Raw genomic sequence first — 17,272 nt, forward strand, 5'->3', positions numbered from 1 at the left:
CTGTTTTTGCAATATAATTGTTTTTTGAGGTAGAGTCTCTCTCTGTCACCCAGGCTGGAATGCAATGGTGTGATCATAGTTCACCGCAGCCTTAACCTCCTGGGTTCAAGCCATCCTCCACCTTAGCCTCCTGAGTAGCTGATTCTACAGGCATGCACCACCATGCCTAGCTAATTTTTTCAAATTTTTTTGTAGAGATGAGGTACTATGTTGCCCAGGCTGGTCTCGAACTCCTGGGCTCAACTGATCCTCCTGCCTCAGCCTCTCAGACTGCCGGATTACAGGTGTTAGCCACTGCACCTGGCCTATAAGTTATTTTTTTAATAACTTAATAATTTAAACAGATCTCTTCCCCTTCTGTGCCCCCCCTTCTCTCTACCAATAAATATACTGTGCCCTCTACTTCTTGATCCTGTAATTTATTATTGTGCATTATAAGATTTGTATAATAAACGTTATCCTTCTATTACATTATTTTTTATTGACTTATTTCTATCTTACCTTATTTTGAAATGTAAGGTGGCTGCTTTCTTCTATAATGAAGGAATTGTAACAGGTTCACCAGAAATTGAGGTGAAAGGGACCTACAGACCAAACTCTAATACTACGGCACACATTCTAATTCCAGAGGCAACATGCGTGTCCTCTCGTGCAGTGAAACGTGGCTTCCCTTAGATCTAGTTACCGAGGTTTTCACTGGTTCTACCAGGCCTTCTCTTCCTCTTTGTGTATTAGCTAACTTTGACCACTAGGTGGAAGCAGAAACCAACTCATTGGGAGACTATTCCCAAGAGACTGAAATCTGGTTATTTCTTTAAACAAAGTGTCAGCCTCTGTTCCCAGGGCAGGAGCCCATCCCCATAGGTGAACCTTCAGAGAGAGCATTGCTTCCTGGGGAAGTGGGCAGCTTGGGTGAGCTGTGTGCTTCTGTGGGCTCTGAACAGGGACAGGGCCCTGAGCTCTCAGTGCATGAAGGAGTTTGTCCACCTCCTGGTCAGAGATCTGGGGCTTGGGCGGAAAACAAAAAAAGCCACGACCAGGGAGAGAGTAAGGAGTCCAGCCTCTACCATGCCCCAGAACTAGCCCGGCCTGTGTCCTTCCTCTGACCCCCAAAGTCTCTTTCTTTGAGATCTCTGGGTGTGGGTCAGAGAGAAGGGAAGAGGGGGTACCTCCTGGCAAACAAGGGAAGTAATTTCCTCGCTGCAGTCTTGCAAAGGAGAGATGCACCCTCGCCAGTCACCTCATCTCCTAGCCCCGTGCCCTCTCCTTCTGTGTGCACTGACCAGGCCAGGCGGGTGCCCAGCACTTACCAGCCTGTGTGGACTTTCTCCGCGCCTTCTTGATGTCCTCCTCTGTCTTGTTGCTCAGCTTGATCTCCAGCTGCTGGGTCTTCATCTCCAGGTCTCTCTGCCGCTCTGTGAGGGCTTTCCGGGCCTGGGGTCCAAGGACACGGAGAAGCTGCTCATACAGCTCGGAGCCAGTGGGCCTCCTGGGCCACGCAGCCCAGCTTCCCTTTGGAGTCCTTTCGCCCCTTGTTTGTGTGGATGATGCCACAGTGGTCCAGAGAGGCCCAGCAGCCAGAGTGGCACCACCCAGCTAGGTAGAGGCTACAACCCAACTCTTTTCGTCCTTGCCTCTTCCAGTGACATCTGGACTCAGCCTACCTCAATCTCTCAAACCACGTTTTTTTCCCGATGGAGCCTGTACAAAGACTGGGGACCTAGGCAGTCCTAAAGTCACAGCCCCTCTGCTTGGAAGGGACCACAAAGGCCATCTGTGTCACCTCCCTGCAGCACTTAATAGGATGTAGCAACAGCCCTCCCGTTCTGGAGCTGGACAAGCCTCGGCCCTCTTGTTCCCCTCACTGTACTGCCTTTCCTCCAGGCCACCACTGGCATCTCTGTGGTCCTTGGGTGGCGGCAGTTGGCTGGGCCCAGGGTGTCCCAGCAGTTTGAGCCCCCTTCTCCTCTCTAAGGCACTGGGGACTGGGAATCAGTCCCTGGGGCACACTCTCTTCCCTCTAAGGCTGAACATCAGTTCCCTGGAGGTGAGACCACCCAGGACTCAGCCTCATCCCTGAGCAGGAAGGAGAGCAGGGAGGCGGTGACTGAGTCAGGACGACTCAGCCAGGTGAGGCTTAAACACGGGGCCCCACGTGAACCAGCAGCAGCACTGCTAGGCTCGGGGTTTAACTGGTCGCCAACAGCCACTCGACTGCCCACTGCAGCTGCAGCCTCTCCTCGCACCCCTGGCCCTCTGGGTGGTCATTCCAGCACCACAGGGAGGCAGCTCCTATCTGCCCTTGGATGGGTGGGGTGCTCTGGCGTAGGCACGAGGCTTGGACATCCCCCTATTCCCCTACCTGGGGACAAAGACTCAGCCTTGGCGTATGGAGCCACTGCTGGCTTCCCAGTCCCCCTTCTTCCAGGCAGTCCCCCATGCACCTGCCCTGGCCCAGCGTCCTGGGCCTCTCACCTTCTCCACCGAGGCATAGCGGCTGGCGAGCTGCTTGCGAAGGTCGGCAATGTGGTGGTCGCACTTCTTCATGTCTTTCTTGAAGTTCTCACGGAAGTTCATCAGGGGCTTCTCCACCTCGCTGTGAAGCTGTTGGGAGAGTAGAGACGCACACTCAGGACCCAGGGCATCAGCTGTAAGCCAGTGCAGGGAGGAGGGATGGGAGGGGCACCCCCACTTCCCCAGGCAAGTGAGGATGAGTCTGGGGTAGCGACCTGGCAGGAAGGTGAGAGACACCCCCTGACACGTGGCTGCCTATCAGGTCTCAGCTTAGGCAGGTCACCTTAGCTCAGGAGGCCCCCACACACGTCTACAGGATAAGTGGTTAGCAACTAGAGCCTTCTGATTTCCCCATCTGTTAACTACTTTTTTTCTGAGCTTCTGCAGCTTTTAAATTTTTAGAATTTTTTACTATTTATGGTTTATAATATGCTGTTTTGAAATATGTATATATTGTGGAATGGCTAAATCAAGTTAATAATCAATGGGCTGGGCACGGTGGCTCATGCCTGTAATCCCAGCACTTTGGGAGGCCAAGGCAGGTTGATCACCTGAGGTCAGGAGTTCGAGACCAGCCTGGCCAACATGGTGAAACCCCATCTCTACTACATACACACACACACACACACACACACACACACACACACACACACACAAATTAGCTGGGAGTGGTGGCAGGTGCCTGTAATCCCAGCTACTCAGGAGGCTGAGGCAGGAAATCACTTGAACCTGGGAGGTTGCAGTGAGCCGAGATTGTGCCACTGCACTTCAGCCTGGGTGACAGAGTGAGACTTGGTCTCAAAAAAAAAAAACAAAACAAACAAACAAAAAACAATAATAATCAATGACCTCACACACTTATTTTATCCCACAGCTTCTTGCACGGCTTTGTTCTTATGTCTCTCTCCCTTATTTTCCGAACTGAGAGCTTTCTGGGGACAGAAACCACATCAGCGTCTGTGTCTCCAAGCACTCAGCACAGTGACTGGGGTACGCGGCTTCAGTAAAGAACAGTCGAATGAATGCCATTCAATTAGAAGGTCTCAGGTCAGTCCTATTTATCGAACATCTACTCCATGGCAGGTGCTGAGAATACAAAGGTGAGCTAGACAGGGTCCAAACCTCGAGGAACTGATGGTGGGAACTGTTGGAGACCTGCTGGAAACTCACAAGGGCAACTGTCCCGCATTGCGCTCATAAAGACATTCTCAGCTTGCTGGGCTGCCTGGAGCACAGGCAAAGGGAACCGCCCTGTATCCCAGGGGCCAGAGAAAAGGGTTTATGCTGTCAGAAGAGCTGGGTGGCATCAGGGTTTTAAGCTTTTTTCTTCTCTTTTATTCCTTCCCTCTTTCCCATCCCACCCCCCTTTAAAAGAACTTTTCCTTAAAATTTGTTCCTTTTGTTTGTGAGCATAACATTTATTTATTTTTTATTTATTTATTTATTTTTTTGAGACAGAGTCTCGCTCTGTCGCCCAGGCTGGAGTGCAGCGACGCGATCTCGGCTCACTGCAAGCCTCGCCTTCCAGGTTCACGCCATTCTCCTGTCTCAGCCTCCCGAGTAGCTGGGACTACAGGCACCTGCCACCACGCCCGGCTAATTTTTTTTTTTTTTTTGTATTTTTAGTAGAGATGGGGTTTCACCGTGTTAGTCAGGATGGTCTCGATCTCCTGACCTCGTGATCCGCCCGCCTCGGCCTCCCAAAGTGCTGGGATTACAGGCGTGAGCCACCGTGCCCAGCCCATAACATTTATAAGAAAACAGATCAACGGGACCTGCTGTGGTCAAAGCCAGGTGGCACCCTAGCCCTGTGCACCCCTCCCACCCCACTGCCTGGAATCAGGCAACTCTCTTCAACCTATGACCACCCCACCACCGCAAATCTGCCTCCACCGGTCTTAGAGGTGTCTCTAGGGAGCACAGCTCAACTTCCCTGGACAGATGATATCCCAACGAGGGTTCTGTGACTTCTCTCCTCTCCCTCAGGTTTTTGCTGTACAATATCTTTTTCTCTGGATACAACCAGGACTTAGGTGTCCCTATTCTAAGCAACTGACTTACACGGGGCTGGGAGCTCCAAGCGGGCAGGGGCCCCATCTGGGTTGAGCACTGCTGTGCCCAGTGTCTGACCTGGGCTGGGGCTGGGTGGGTGCCCCTTCTGTGTTTGTAGAGAGAATGACAAACTCTTCAGAGCTCAATCCCCTGGGTGACAAGAAGACAGCTTTGTCGCTGGATGACCGTCACAGACTAACAGAGAACTGGCCATCCAAACACCCCTCTCTCCTCCTCGTGTTAGTTGTAAATATGTCCTACTATTTTTTTTGAGCCCCTGGAACCTTCCCTGTATAGGAAAACATCCCCACCTGGCGGCAGTTTGCAGGATGCTACAAAAATCTTGAGAGCTTACGAGAATAAATAAACCCCTTTCCCACGTATATAGGTTTGGCATTTGCTGAGTAGGAGCAGCTGTACGACTCCGGGAATCTGGGAGAGTTAGCTCAGCCTGCTGACTCAGAAACTCCGGGGTCTCTAAGGACATGGAAAGCAAGTGACTTTCAGGCTTTAATACGCCCAGGAATGACCTGAAGAGTTTTCAACATTAAGGTTTCCTGGACCCCAGCCCCAGGTTCTGTGGTCTGGGGAAAAGCCCATGAACCTGCCAATATGCCAGGAAGCTTTCCCCAAATTCAAATGACATTCTGGAAGCGTGACGCTGCTAACTATCACAAGTGATTTGATTCCACAGATGAGGATGCCTGGCATCTCCATCTCGCTACAGACATCAAGTATTTTATTTATTTATTTATTTTTTTGAGACGGAGTCTCACTCTGTCTCCCAGGCTGGAGTGCAATGGCGCAATCTTGGCTCACTGCAAGCTCCACCTCCCAGGTTCAAGCCGTTCTCCTGCCTCAGCCTCCCAAGTAGCTGGGATTACAGGCACCCGCCACCAAACCTGGCTAATTTTTTTTTGTATTTTTAGTAGAGACGGGGTTTCACCATGTTAGCCAGGATGGTCTTGATCTCCTGACCTCATGATCCGCCCGCCTCGGCCTCCCAAAGTGCTGGGATTACAGGTGTGAGCCACTGTGCCCGACGATATTAAGTACTTTTAAAAGACAGTTTTTTTTTTCCTTTAAAATGGTTAGGCTGGTATCTTTAGTACCCATTCTTAACTTTTAAGCATCTCTGTTGAACCAGGAATCAGAAGTCCTTCCTCAAAGTGTCCTCACAGACTCAGGCCGGCCTGTCATGGCCCATCAGTTTTTCTTTCCAAAACTCTCGCTCTCTTTGCTTCCTTTTCATCTCACACATCAGAAGAGAATAAGAGAAGTTCCAAGTTGGTAGGAATTTCAGACACTGTCTAGTCTGATATTTTTCAGACGGTGTGCGGCCGAGAGTTGTGAAATCGATTTAATGGGCCAGGACCAGCTTTTTGGTGAGAACAGACCAGACTTGAACAGAAAATACCAGAGTACATTTTAAGTAGGAGGATAAATACTGTTTTATGAAACGTTTGTTTCAGCTACAGATGTGTGTGAATGTCTGTGTGCAGATATCGGAGTGGATACCTACAGACAGGTTCTGAATGCTCACATAAAATGCATCATTGTAAGTCACTGTCAGATAAGTGTAAAGAGACTGATCTGGTCTGAATTCTTCATTTCATATGTGAAGAAATGAAACCCCAGGGGAGCTAAGTGACTTGCTCAAGGTCACAGAGCTTGTTAGTGACAATACTGAGATACAACTCATGTCTCCTCACTCCTGTCCCCTAAATCTTCTGATGGAACGCAGAGCCTCTACCGCATGAGATTTTCTATCAGCAGAAGGAATTCTGCTCTTCTCCCTTCTTCAGCAGGAGCCAGGTATAACTTTCTTTGTATACGGCTCTCTCATTTCTTTAGCAATCTGTTGCTATTAGCAATGGCTTGAGCTAATGGACCAGAAAAACCACAAAAATTGCTGCAACAAAATTGCATTTCTTAAAGAGCTTTTACCCCTGACACAGAGCATTCAGAGCAGAATTTCAATAAGTCTTTTGGAGCAGACATTAAAAACGGTTTTTGGCATATGGAGCTATATTATTCATGGCAGTCAAATACATCCTTGGAGCCACTTTCTTCTCAAGGAATCGCCATAAAACCACTAGGCTGCTGCGATGACCGCTTGAGGCCACCAACACTGACCGACAGGCTGGAAGCAGCCGAGAGCCTCTCGTAGCAAAGTCTGTTTTGCATGACGGGTCTTCATGAGCTTCCTGTCAACTGAATGGTGAGGTCCACCCTGTGTCCTGAACACTAACTTAAAATGTTCTGAGCATGTGGTTGTCCAGGGCCAGTCTGCAGTAGCCCATTGGCAACCCCTGGAAAGGCACAGGCTCAAGAAGAGGCTGTGTTTTCAATGCCATTGGTCTGCCAAAGCAGGGGAGCTGCTGGAAGAAAAGCTCTGGGGACCAAGTCTCCCATTCGCTCAGTCCTTTCCTTTGCTTCCTCTGTGACTGAACCCACCTGGCTGTGTGACCATGGGCTGTGATCTCACCCCACCTCTTCTCACTGTGAAATGTGTATGCTATCTCGCGTGGTGGTTGACGGCAATGAGTTATATCCTGCACACAGCCATCCACACCACTTATGTCACCACTACCACGTCGGAGAGAGTTTTGCCACCTGTTGAGCACTCTAAACAATCAAGAATCAGGGGTCCTGCTGATGGGGAGTAAATGCCACCAAGATTCCCGGGGACCCAGCAGGTGACCTTTCCAAAGCTCGCAACTCTGGCTCCCAGCCCCACCCCATCACAATGGCAGCCCGCCCAGGATCTTCCCAGTCAATGGAAGTTTCTACCACAGCAGAGAATGGAGCTGCTGGGGGCCCCGACAGGGGAAGGGAGGCCTTGAGGGGAAAGCTACTCATGATCTGCAGCTGAAAAATAACTTGCTGTTTTGGATGCAATGCAGGAAAAAGATCCATTCACGGAGTTCCCTTCTCTGCCAGGACTTGAGTAGCAATTTTCTACTGAAGCGCTTGGTGTAATGAGGTTAGTTAGCATGCCTTCACTGGCTGGGAATTCTCACTCACATCTGGGTGTCAACTCAATCTTGGGGCACACTAAGCCATGGGGAGCTGTAGCAGCTCTGTTCCCTCTTCCAACCCAGCTCTTTAGAAAGTCCTTTCACGTGTCTCAGTCATCTGAGTCATTCATTCTGCCTTCTGTGTGCCGAGTACCACCACGGGGTACATCGTATGGGATCCCAAAGCAGGGACTTGCAATTGCAGTAGGAACGACACTAGGAAAGAGACAGGACCAGTGAGTGCTGAACGTGGAAGTCCCAGGAAGGAGCGACCATCTCTGAGGGATGCTACCTTCAAATGATCAAGCACGTGTTTAAAGAAGGGAGACTCAGCGTTTAGGCACTTTACCCTGCTGTGTCTGACTAGTGATGGTGGGAGGACAGAGGGAAGAGCGAGGAGGCCAGGGTCACTGGGATGGTGCACTCTGAAAGGTCCCCCCCGCTTTTTTTTTTTTTTTTTTTGAGACAGAGTCTCACTCTGTTGCCAGGCTGGAGTGCAGTGGCGTGAACTCGGCTCACTGCAACTTCTGCCTCCAGGGTTCAAGAGATTCTCCTGCTTCAGCCTCCCGAGTAGCTGGGACTACAGGCATGCGCCACCAAGCCCAGCTAATTTTTGTATTTTTAGTAGAGATGGGGTTTCACCATGTTGGCCAGGATGGTCTCGATCTCATGATCTCATGATCCACCCACCTCAGCCTCTCAAAGTGCTGGGATTACAGGCGTGAGCCACCACGCCTGGCCCCTTTCTTTAAAAGGCAAGCCTGTTAATGGGTAGCCCCACCAATCATGTACACTTTAGAGTGGATTACTTCACTGAGAGATTTAGTTTATTTTTCATCTAAAAATTAGCTGAGAGTCGGAGAGAAAACCTGGAGGTATGTGCCAGGGAGTGGGGAAGGGAGAGTCACTTGGAAACATGGAGAAATCTTGAGAGAAAGCAGACCTGAAAAGACTGGGGGTGGGGTGGAGATAGTCAGAGGGCTCTGTTCATTCATGACTCAATAAGAAAATATTTATTAAGCATCTACTACATGCAAGACACCATCCTGAGCCCTGAGGATGGGAATAGGACAGAAACACCCTGCCCTCGAGTCCTGGCACTAGTATCTTCAGAATTAAATGAAAGAGGGATGCTTTATGGTCGGGAGTGGTGGCTCACGCCTATAATCCTAGCACTTTGGGAGGCGGAGGAGGGTGGATCATGAGGTGAGGAGTTCAACACCAGCCTGGCCAACACGGTGAAACCCCATCTCTACTAAAAATACAAAAAATTAGCTGGGTGTGGTGGCAGGCGCCTGTAGTCCCAGCTACTCGGGAGGCTGAGGCAGGAGAATCACTTGAACCCGGGAGGCGGAGCTTGCAGTGAGCTGAGATCGCACCACTGCACTCCAGCCTGGGCGACAAAGCAAGACTCTGTCTCAAAATCAATAAATCAATAAATCAATCAATAAATAAATGAATAAATAAATAAAGAAGGACCCTTTACTTGTTCTGAAATTTTGCAACAACCACAAATTTAAAAAAAATTCTCCCTTTGGCATAACCTAATGTTCCCTGACACTAGGAAGAGACAGGACATCCTACTCCATCCCTTTGAAAGCCAGGCAAAAAGAAAGCAGGGCTTCGTCACTCAGGGGCTGCCCTGAGAAACTGGGCAGGTGTGCTAAGGCCTGCTCCCAGTGGCTCCCAAGAGCTGAATGTTAAATTTTCAGGAATTCTGTTTGCTGGTTGTTAAACACGGCCATTATCAAAAAGGAAATGATATGAACTTATAATTGAATAAAAATTATATTAAAAACGAAGGTAATAGGCCAGGTATAGTGGCTCATGTCTGTGATCCCAGCATTTTGGGAGGTAGAGGCAGGAAGACTGCTTGAAGCCAGGAGGTTCAAGACCAGCCTGGGGAAAATAGCGAGACCCCATCTCTACAAATAAATAAAAAAATTACCCAGGCATGGTTGCATACACCTGTTGTCCCAGCTACTTGGGAGGCTGAGGTGGGAGAATCGTTTGAGCCCAGGAGGCTGAGGCTGCAGTGAGCTATGATCATGTCACTGCACTCCAGCCTGGGCAACACAGTGAGACCTTGTCTTTTTAAAAATAACAAAACATAAAAAACAAAGGCAATAAATACCTAGCACTTACCACCTCCTAACTACACTTTACTATTTTCCATGCTCTTGGTGGATATTGATGGTTATTTGTGCTACTGTGTCTATACAAAAATGCACCACCTCATGGTGAGCCACTGGGCAGATATCTCTTCCCAACTCCGTATTCCGTGACTTCATGTTGATAGCCTGAAGTTTACACCAGGGAAAATGGCAAACGGCAAACTGGAGAGACAGTTGTTAACTATTTTTTAGTACCCCAGTGTGTAAGACCAACTGAGGGTGGCTGCAGGGAGGGGTTACCTTGGCAGAGAACTTGAGGTGAACTTCTGCTTCGTCCGCCAGGCTCTTCTTCACCTGGGCCCACGCCTCTCCCAAGGAGCTGCAACACAAAGACCATGAGACTCAGGTCACAAGCCAAAGCCCTTCCTGAGGCAGGATGGTGGGGCTCCACCCCAGGTCTCGGGGAGGTATATGACAGCTGAGAATGTGGACGCGGATGAGGCAGAAGTCAGGCAGAAACCAGACATGAGCATCACGTTTCAACTCACAGAGTCAGATGAGCCACCAAGGTCCAAGTGAGCTCACCTTACCTCTGGAGCTAAGGAAACAGACTGTGGCGCACAGCCAAGAGGTGGGGGGGGTGGGGATTCCTAGAAATCCAGAGGCTCGAAAGGACCCAGGAAGGTGCCGGAAGCAGGTGTGGGGACATTCCAAAGCCTCAGCTGCAGTGAGGGCCTTGACCCCTGGGCCGTCACTGTCCCCAGAGCTTTCACATCACCCCTCCCTGGTTTGCTGATGAGGGGTGCAAGCATCTGCTAATAAATCAAGGAAGGAAAACAGGTTCTATTCCAGGGAGAAGCTCTTTTCATTTGTTTATTAGTTTGTTCCTTGAGACAGTCTTGCTCTGTCGCCTAGGCTGGAGTACAATGGCGCGATCTTGGCTCATGGCAACCTCTGCCTCCTGGGTTCAAGCGATTCTCCTGTCTCAGCCTCCCGAGTAGCTGGGATTACAGGCGTGTGCCACCACATCCGGCTAATTTTTATATTTTTAGTAGAGACGGGGTTTTGCCATGTTGGCCAGGCCGGTCTCGAACTCCTGACCAACTGAGAGCAGCTGCAGGGAGGGGTTACCTCGGCCTCCCAAAGTACTGGGATTACAGGCATAAGCCACCATGCCCAGCCGGAGAAGCTCTTTTCAAACAGCAGGTATCACACAGCGCTGCTTATAGGAAAAACCCAGCTCCTTGGCTTCCAGGAGTGGGGAAGATGGACTGTGTGGGTCTAGTGACCTAGATGCAGCCACAGGGCAGAGAAGGCTCCCACGGCCATCCTAGGAAGCACGGTCTCCTCTAGCACTGCTTCTCTAGCTGTGAGCCCTGATGCTGCCCACAGCTTACTAGAGAAGGGCCAAGTCCTCTTAGCAGCATCACTTCTCCACTCCAAGGAGAGGCTTCACGTAGAAGAAATCTCCTGAAGTCCCTAAGACTTGCCAATGCAGGCCCCAGGCTACATTCTCTATGATTTGGAGCTCTTTAACCGCATGACCCTTCCAAGTGATACCCCCGCTTTCTTGCTCCCAGCCTCTTCAACACAGCCAGTAAATCCAGGCTGAATGTTCTGTTGACTTAATATCATCCAAAAGCCACTTCCCCCAGAGAATTCATTAAAGTCGAGTGGCAAAAGCTGAATAAAAGACAGCATGTGGTGAGGCTTCTGGGTCTGGAGCAGAGCAGCCAGCAGCGAAGAATTGCCCAACAGTGCACAGCAGATCCCTCTGATGGCTGGCCAGCCCTGTGTGGTGGTGGCGCAGGCTCAGGCCGAGGTGGGTGTTTATGGGAAATGACTGCCTGATTTTATCTAGGAGTCTAGCAGCAAAGAAAGGTCCCCTCAGTGATCCTGGCAGGGGAAGCCACCAGAGAAGCACTGGAGTATGAAACGGGGCAATCCAAGCTGTTGACAATTGTCTCTGCCTGAAGGGCCTGAGATCCAGGAAGCTGTACTGGGGCACTCCACCCCCTCTGGGTGGCTTGGGTGCCCCACCTGATTCAACAGGTGGGTAGGAGGTCCAGGGGTGGCAGGAGTAGTCCTGGCAGTTACACAGATCAGCGGAACAGAACACAAAGTCACCCAGCTAGGGCCGATTGACTGCAGCAAAGAGGTTAGGGTGTTTCCATGGGGGAAACAGATGATCTTTTTAACAAATGGTGCAGAGACAACCGTACATCCACAGGAGGAAAAGGAATCTCGGCCCTACCTCACACCATACACACAAATTATCTCAAGATGCCTCCTAGCTCTAGGGTGAAAGCCAACACTATTTGAAGCATACCAAGGTTGTCCTGGGAGGAATGGGAACTGGATTAAAGGGAAGTGAGAGGGGTTTGCCCCTGCAGCTGAGCCACACACAGCAGCCTGTGGGAGGTATGAACAAGAGTCACAGAGCCAAAAAGGCCCCAGGCGGTGCCCAGACTTTGTATGAGCACATGCATCTTTCCACAGAGCTGTCAGTCTACTGTCAGCAGAGCACATGGCAGGTAAATGGCCCAGGGACAGTCGTGGTGGCCTGAGAATGTCATCTCTGGGCAACTGGGATGAAAGGAAGAACCATGGTTTTCCCCCACCCAACACAACGTCCTCAGCTCTACCTCCAGGCCAGACACTGCTAAGTGGGAAGACATGTCTCCAGACATTCAGAGGGGCCCCTCTGAGCCAGTGCATCCTTGGTGAATGCCTCCCTGCTCTCCAATATTCCAGGCTCTTTGGAGTCACATCACCATTTATTAAAAAGCTACTTACAAATTCTCTCATTTGAAAAGAGATTTTTCATCTGATAAACGGTTAATGAAAAACAAAACAAAACCTGAGGTGCATCTCTGTTCCAACATACAGTTTCAGGTACGCCAAATCAAAATGCATGTTGTTTTCATGACTGCCAACTAGGAAAACCAAAATCGCATTTCCTTTCCACATAGGAGAGAAAAACTAAAGGCAGAATAAACAACCGAATTCTGTTTATTTACCAATGTGCACATGTCCTGTGAAATCTAATTTGGACACAGAAGTTGAATTGCAAAAGCCTCTCCAGCCTCCCTGAGCAGCATCTTCCTCAACTGCTCCAAATTTCTAGACTCCTGCTTTGCTTTGAAAGTCTTCAAGGAGATAGGGTTAAATGTCCAAAGCTGTGTGTAAATGTAAATCAGTGTCTTTGCACGTTGTACGTAGGGGGCTCATGTGTTCATGTTCCAGTGCCTGCTGCAGGAGTGTGTGCATGGGGCTGCTGTGCGTGCATGCACACACAGAGTAATGTGTACACCTACGAGGCAGTGGCCCTGATGCATGTATGTGAGCTTGCGTTGTGTTTGTCTCTGTGTTTGTCCGGGCATGTGTGTACAGTATGGTAGTGTGGGCCTGACTTATGGAGCTGGACTGCTCGGGTGAGGAGCATATGCTGTGCATGTTGGCCAGGACACAGTGTCCTTGGCAGCAGCCCAGGCTGGAGAGATGGAAGCCGGAAGACTCCGGAGTGGCACAGTGGTTGCAGGGCACGGGGATACTTAGGAAAGCCCCTTGCCAGGCAGCAAGAGCTGCTCCTCTATGTGCCCCCTTCCTGCCCCTATCTCAGGCCCCGTGCATGGAGCAGAAGGAGGCCAGGAATGAACTAACCTCATTTACATCTGTGGAAGGGACGCTGGTCTTGCTGGGCCGCCCTGCGGTCTGTGGCTGGCAGGGAGGGTGAGAACCATTCAAAGGAGGCCGCCTGGCTGCACAGCCAACCCATGTGGAGGGCTTAATCAAAGCCACATTTGGGTTGGCAAAATCTCAGTCTCCTGAAGGATTTCAAGCCACGAAGGCAGATTTGGACTGGTTTAACATCATGGCTCGCTGACGACCACAACCATCCCACAACAGAACGTCTTCCTTCCTCGGGGGTTCACTCCCCCTTGGAGAAGGAATTCAAACAGACCAGCACCAGAGGGAGGTCAGAACGGAGAGGACCTCTGGGGACCTTTTCAACTCTAACCTCCTGAGAGTCTTTCTGTTTTTTTTTACAGAGGTGAAATTCATATAACATAAAATTAACCGTTGAAAAGTGATCGATCCAGGCGCATTTAGGACGAGACCAAATCAAACGCCTGTTTTGTGAGTGCAACTACCACCTCTATCTAGTTCCAAAACATTTTCGTCATGCTAGTATGGACTAAAGGTTTATGTCCTGCCAAAATTCTTAGGTTAAAACCCTAACCCACAATGTGGCTGCATTTGGCAATGGGGCCTTTAAGGAAGTAATTAAGGTTAAATGAGGTCATAAGGGTGCAGCCCTGATCTGATAGGATTAGTGTCCTTATAAAAATAGACATTGGCCAGGCGCGATGGATCACGCCTACAATTCCAGCACTTTGGGAGGCCAAGGAGGGTGGACTGCTTGAGTTCAGGGGTTCTAGACCAGCCTGACCAACATGGTGAAACCCCGTCTCTACTAAAAATACAAAAAATTAGCCAGGTATGGTGGCACATGCCTGTAGTCCCAGCTACTTGGGAGGTGGAGGTTGCAGTGAGCTGAGATCAGGCCACTCCAGTCTGGGCGACAGAGCGAGACTCTGTCTCAAAAAAAAAAAAAAAAAAAAAAATAGACATCACAGAGCTCCCTCTCTCTCTCTCTCTGAGCACACACCAAGGAAAGGCTGCATGAACACACAATCAGAAGGCGGCCATCTGCAACCCAATGGGAGAGTCCTTACCAGGCACCAACCCTGCTGGCACCTTGATCTTGGACTTCCCAGCCTCCAGAGCCACGAGAAAATAAATGTCTGTAGTTTCAGCCACCCAGTCTGGGACATCTTGTGGCAGCCCAAGCAGATGAATACACACCCCAAAAGGAAACCCGGTAACTTTTAAGCAGTCACAACCCATTCCCCTCCTCCCCCAGCCCCTGGCAAATGACAATCCACTTTCTGTTTCCATGGGTTTGCCTGTTCTGGGCATTTTACATAAATGGAATCATACACTATGAGACCTTTTGTGCCTGGCTTCTGTAACTTAGCAGAATGTTTTCGAGGCTCATCCACACAGTAGCATGTATTAGTGTTCCATTCCTTTTCATGGCTGAGTAATATTCCATTGTCTATCCATGGGTATCCATTGTGCATACACCACCATTTGTTTATCCAGTCATCCCTGGGTGGAATGTGGGTTGTTTCCACCTTTTGGCTATTATGAATATTGCTGCTGTGTACATGTGTATACATGTATTAGTTTGAGTGCCTGTACTCAGTTTTTTTGGGTATAAGCCTAGGAATGGAATTGCTGGGTCACATGGTAATTCTATGTTTAGCTTTTTGAGGAACAACCAGATTGTTTTCCACAGCGGCTGTACCATATTCCATTTCCCCCAGGGGTGCATAAGGGCTGAGACTTTTTTACCCACTAGGAGTCCTTCTGTGGCTGGGAGGGTTGGGTTAAGCTTCTCCCAGCCCAGGTCCCACTCAAGGAGGTCTGGACAGTCACAGCATTAGCGGGAAGGGAGCCTATGCCTCAAGCCCACAGGAGAGAGCTCCAGACAAAGCGGCCAGGTACAATACCCTCTCATACGCAGCTTCCTCCCAGCCTGCCCCTAGACAAAGGGAGGCTGGAGTGGGCATCTAGAGGCTGCTGCCCAGCTACCAGGGGTCAGACCAGAGGGGATTCTGACATACTTCAACATCTGGAACGTGGCTCTTGGTCACTAAAGAGAAGACAATGTGGAAGTGCCTTTTTTTTTTTTTGAGACGGAGTCTCGCTCTGTCGCCCAGGCTGGAGTGCAGTGGCCCGATCGCAGCTCACTGCAAGCTCCACCTCCTGGGTTCACGCCATTCTCCTGCCTCAGCCTCCCAAGTAGCTGGGACTACAGGCACTCATCACCATGCCCGGCTAATTCTTGTATTTTTAGTAGAGATGGGGTTTCACTATGTGGGCCAGGCTGGTCTCGAACTCCTGACCTTGTGATCCACCCGCCTCGGCCTCCCAAAGTGCTGGGATAATGGGTGTGAGCCACCCGCCCGGCTGGAAGTGCCCTTTTGAGTGTGGATGCCCACACCTTGAGTCATGGGTGCCCACCCAAGTCATGAGCACCTACCTGAGCCATGAGTGCCCACCTTGAGCCAGGCCTATGGAGAGCTCCCCATCCAAAGTGGGGCCATGCCAGTGATCAGTGATAGTGGCTGATTTCCCTTCCTCAGTGACCCCCCATCCTCCCCACTCCCACCTCTCTCCTACCCACTCACCCTTCCTCCTGTGAAGCCAAGGAGTTCTGAGAGAGCTTAGCTAAGTTCTTCGCATAGTCTTCTTCAATCTTTATCCTGCAAAGAGAGAAAACCCAACACACATCAGCTCTCCAGTGCCAGATCGTGGGTCTGCCCTGCTGCCCTGCACACCTCAGCCGTGGAAAGGAACCCACTAGACCATAAGCTCTGAGACCACATGGCTCTTGTCTGTCTACCTGACATGCAGTAGGTGCTTAATAAATACTTGTTGGATAAATGAATGAACAAAACTGTCTGGACCTCCATCTCCTCATCTGCAAAGTAGGACATTTTCTCCGGTCTCCTAGAGCTGTGAAGACGAGAGCTGTCGTTTACACAGTTCCTAGCACAGAACGGGAAACATAAGACCCCTGAACCAATAAATGAATGAAGGAAGAAATGAACGTTTGCAACTCGTGATGGACTACCAGCAATCCCCAGTGCTGTCCCCTCTCCCTTCCAGCCCCAGAACTCCCAGGTGGCCTCGGACCCTCAGCAGCAGAACAGAACATCTCCCTACTGTCTCACACCCCCAATGCCTCTGATTGTCAAGCCTGCTGGGTACAAGTACTTCCACGGAAACCTAGCAGTGCCCAGGGCTGCAGGTAGATTCTATTTCCCTGGAGAGGAAAGTTGCCTTGGATGTAGCTTCCGGCAGGCAGGCCTTTGACACATTTGCAAGGCAACTCCCCAGGGAGTGTCCTGTATTATCTGGCACGTCCATGTTAAGCATGTTGTCAGAGGTATTGTTCACCACCTAAGTGGTCCTCTGGGCCACAGTGGGAGACAGAAGAGCTATGCTTATGCCAACCAGAGCTGGCCAGAGCCCAGGCTTCGGAGAGCCCCTGGTCCACCACACGGTGAACAGAGAAGCTCCAGAGATGCTGGGACCACAGCGTTTGCTTCCCAGCTGCTCAAGCAGCTGGCACCCAAAGGGTGCGATGATGGAGAGAGGGCGGCTGACAAAGTCTGGCGGCAGCATTCCGAGTAATAATAATTGCATGACTTGGCATCAGGAGACTCACAATCTCGTTCCTTCTTGCACTGCTTTCCCCTCACCTCCACCTTCAACTGGTCTCTAGGTCCTCCTGAGTCTCATTCCAACTGATCTGCCTCTGTCACTTCCTCTCCATCCCCCTACCTTCACCTCCAGACTGTGGTCAAGAGAGATATCTAGAAAGTAGATCTATCCATGCCACGCTCCCGGCTCCTCAATGCCGACAGCATGCACCAGACACACGAGGTGCATACGCTGTCTGCCTCCTGTGTCTCACCTCCAGGACGACAGCGTGCG

At 50.3% G+C, this 17,272-nt stretch overlaps 1 protein-coding gene across 13 annotated transcripts in view, besides 1 other annotated feature; it reads right to left on the reverse strand.

The window, feature by feature from the left end:
• The window catches only part of GAS7 (growth arrest specific 7), a 288,001-nt gene that overhangs the window by 13,560 nt on the left and 257,169 nt on the right, over positions 1–17,272 (reverse strand). For all 13 annotated transcript variants that reach the window (NM_201433.2, XM_011524044.4, XM_047436955.1 and 10 more), the window contains 4 exons: positions 15,961–16,035; positions 10,001–10,079; positions 2,476–2,604; positions 1,311–1,434 (listed from right to left, as the gene is read on the reverse strand). In NM_201433.2, the coding sequence (NP_958839.1) occupies positions 1,311–1,434; positions 2,476–2,604; positions 10,001–10,079; positions 15,961–16,035 (407 nt within the window). The remainder of the gene's footprint in view (positions 1–1,310; positions 1,435–2,475; positions 2,605–10,000; positions 10,080–15,960; positions 16,036–17,272) is intronic.
• Positions 892–1,818: an enhancer, noted in NCBI's record as "H3K4me1 hESC enhancer chr17:9828374-9829300 (GRCh37/hg19 assembly coordinates)". NCBI's record gives its function as "activates a minimal SCP1, AML or CMV promoter by ChIP-STARR-seq in naive H9 embryonic stem cells {active_cell/tissue: H9 hESC(naive)}" and the evidence as "EXISTENCE:reporter gene assay evidence [ECO:0000049][PMID:30033119]".

The sequence above is a fragment of the Homo sapiens genome, chromosome 17 (genome assembly GCF_000001405.40).
Source record: "Homo sapiens chromosome 17, GRCh38.p14 Primary Assembly".
In the NCBI taxonomy this organism is placed as follows: domain Eukaryota; kingdom Metazoa; phylum Chordata; class Mammalia; order Primates; family Hominidae; genus Homo; species Homo sapiens.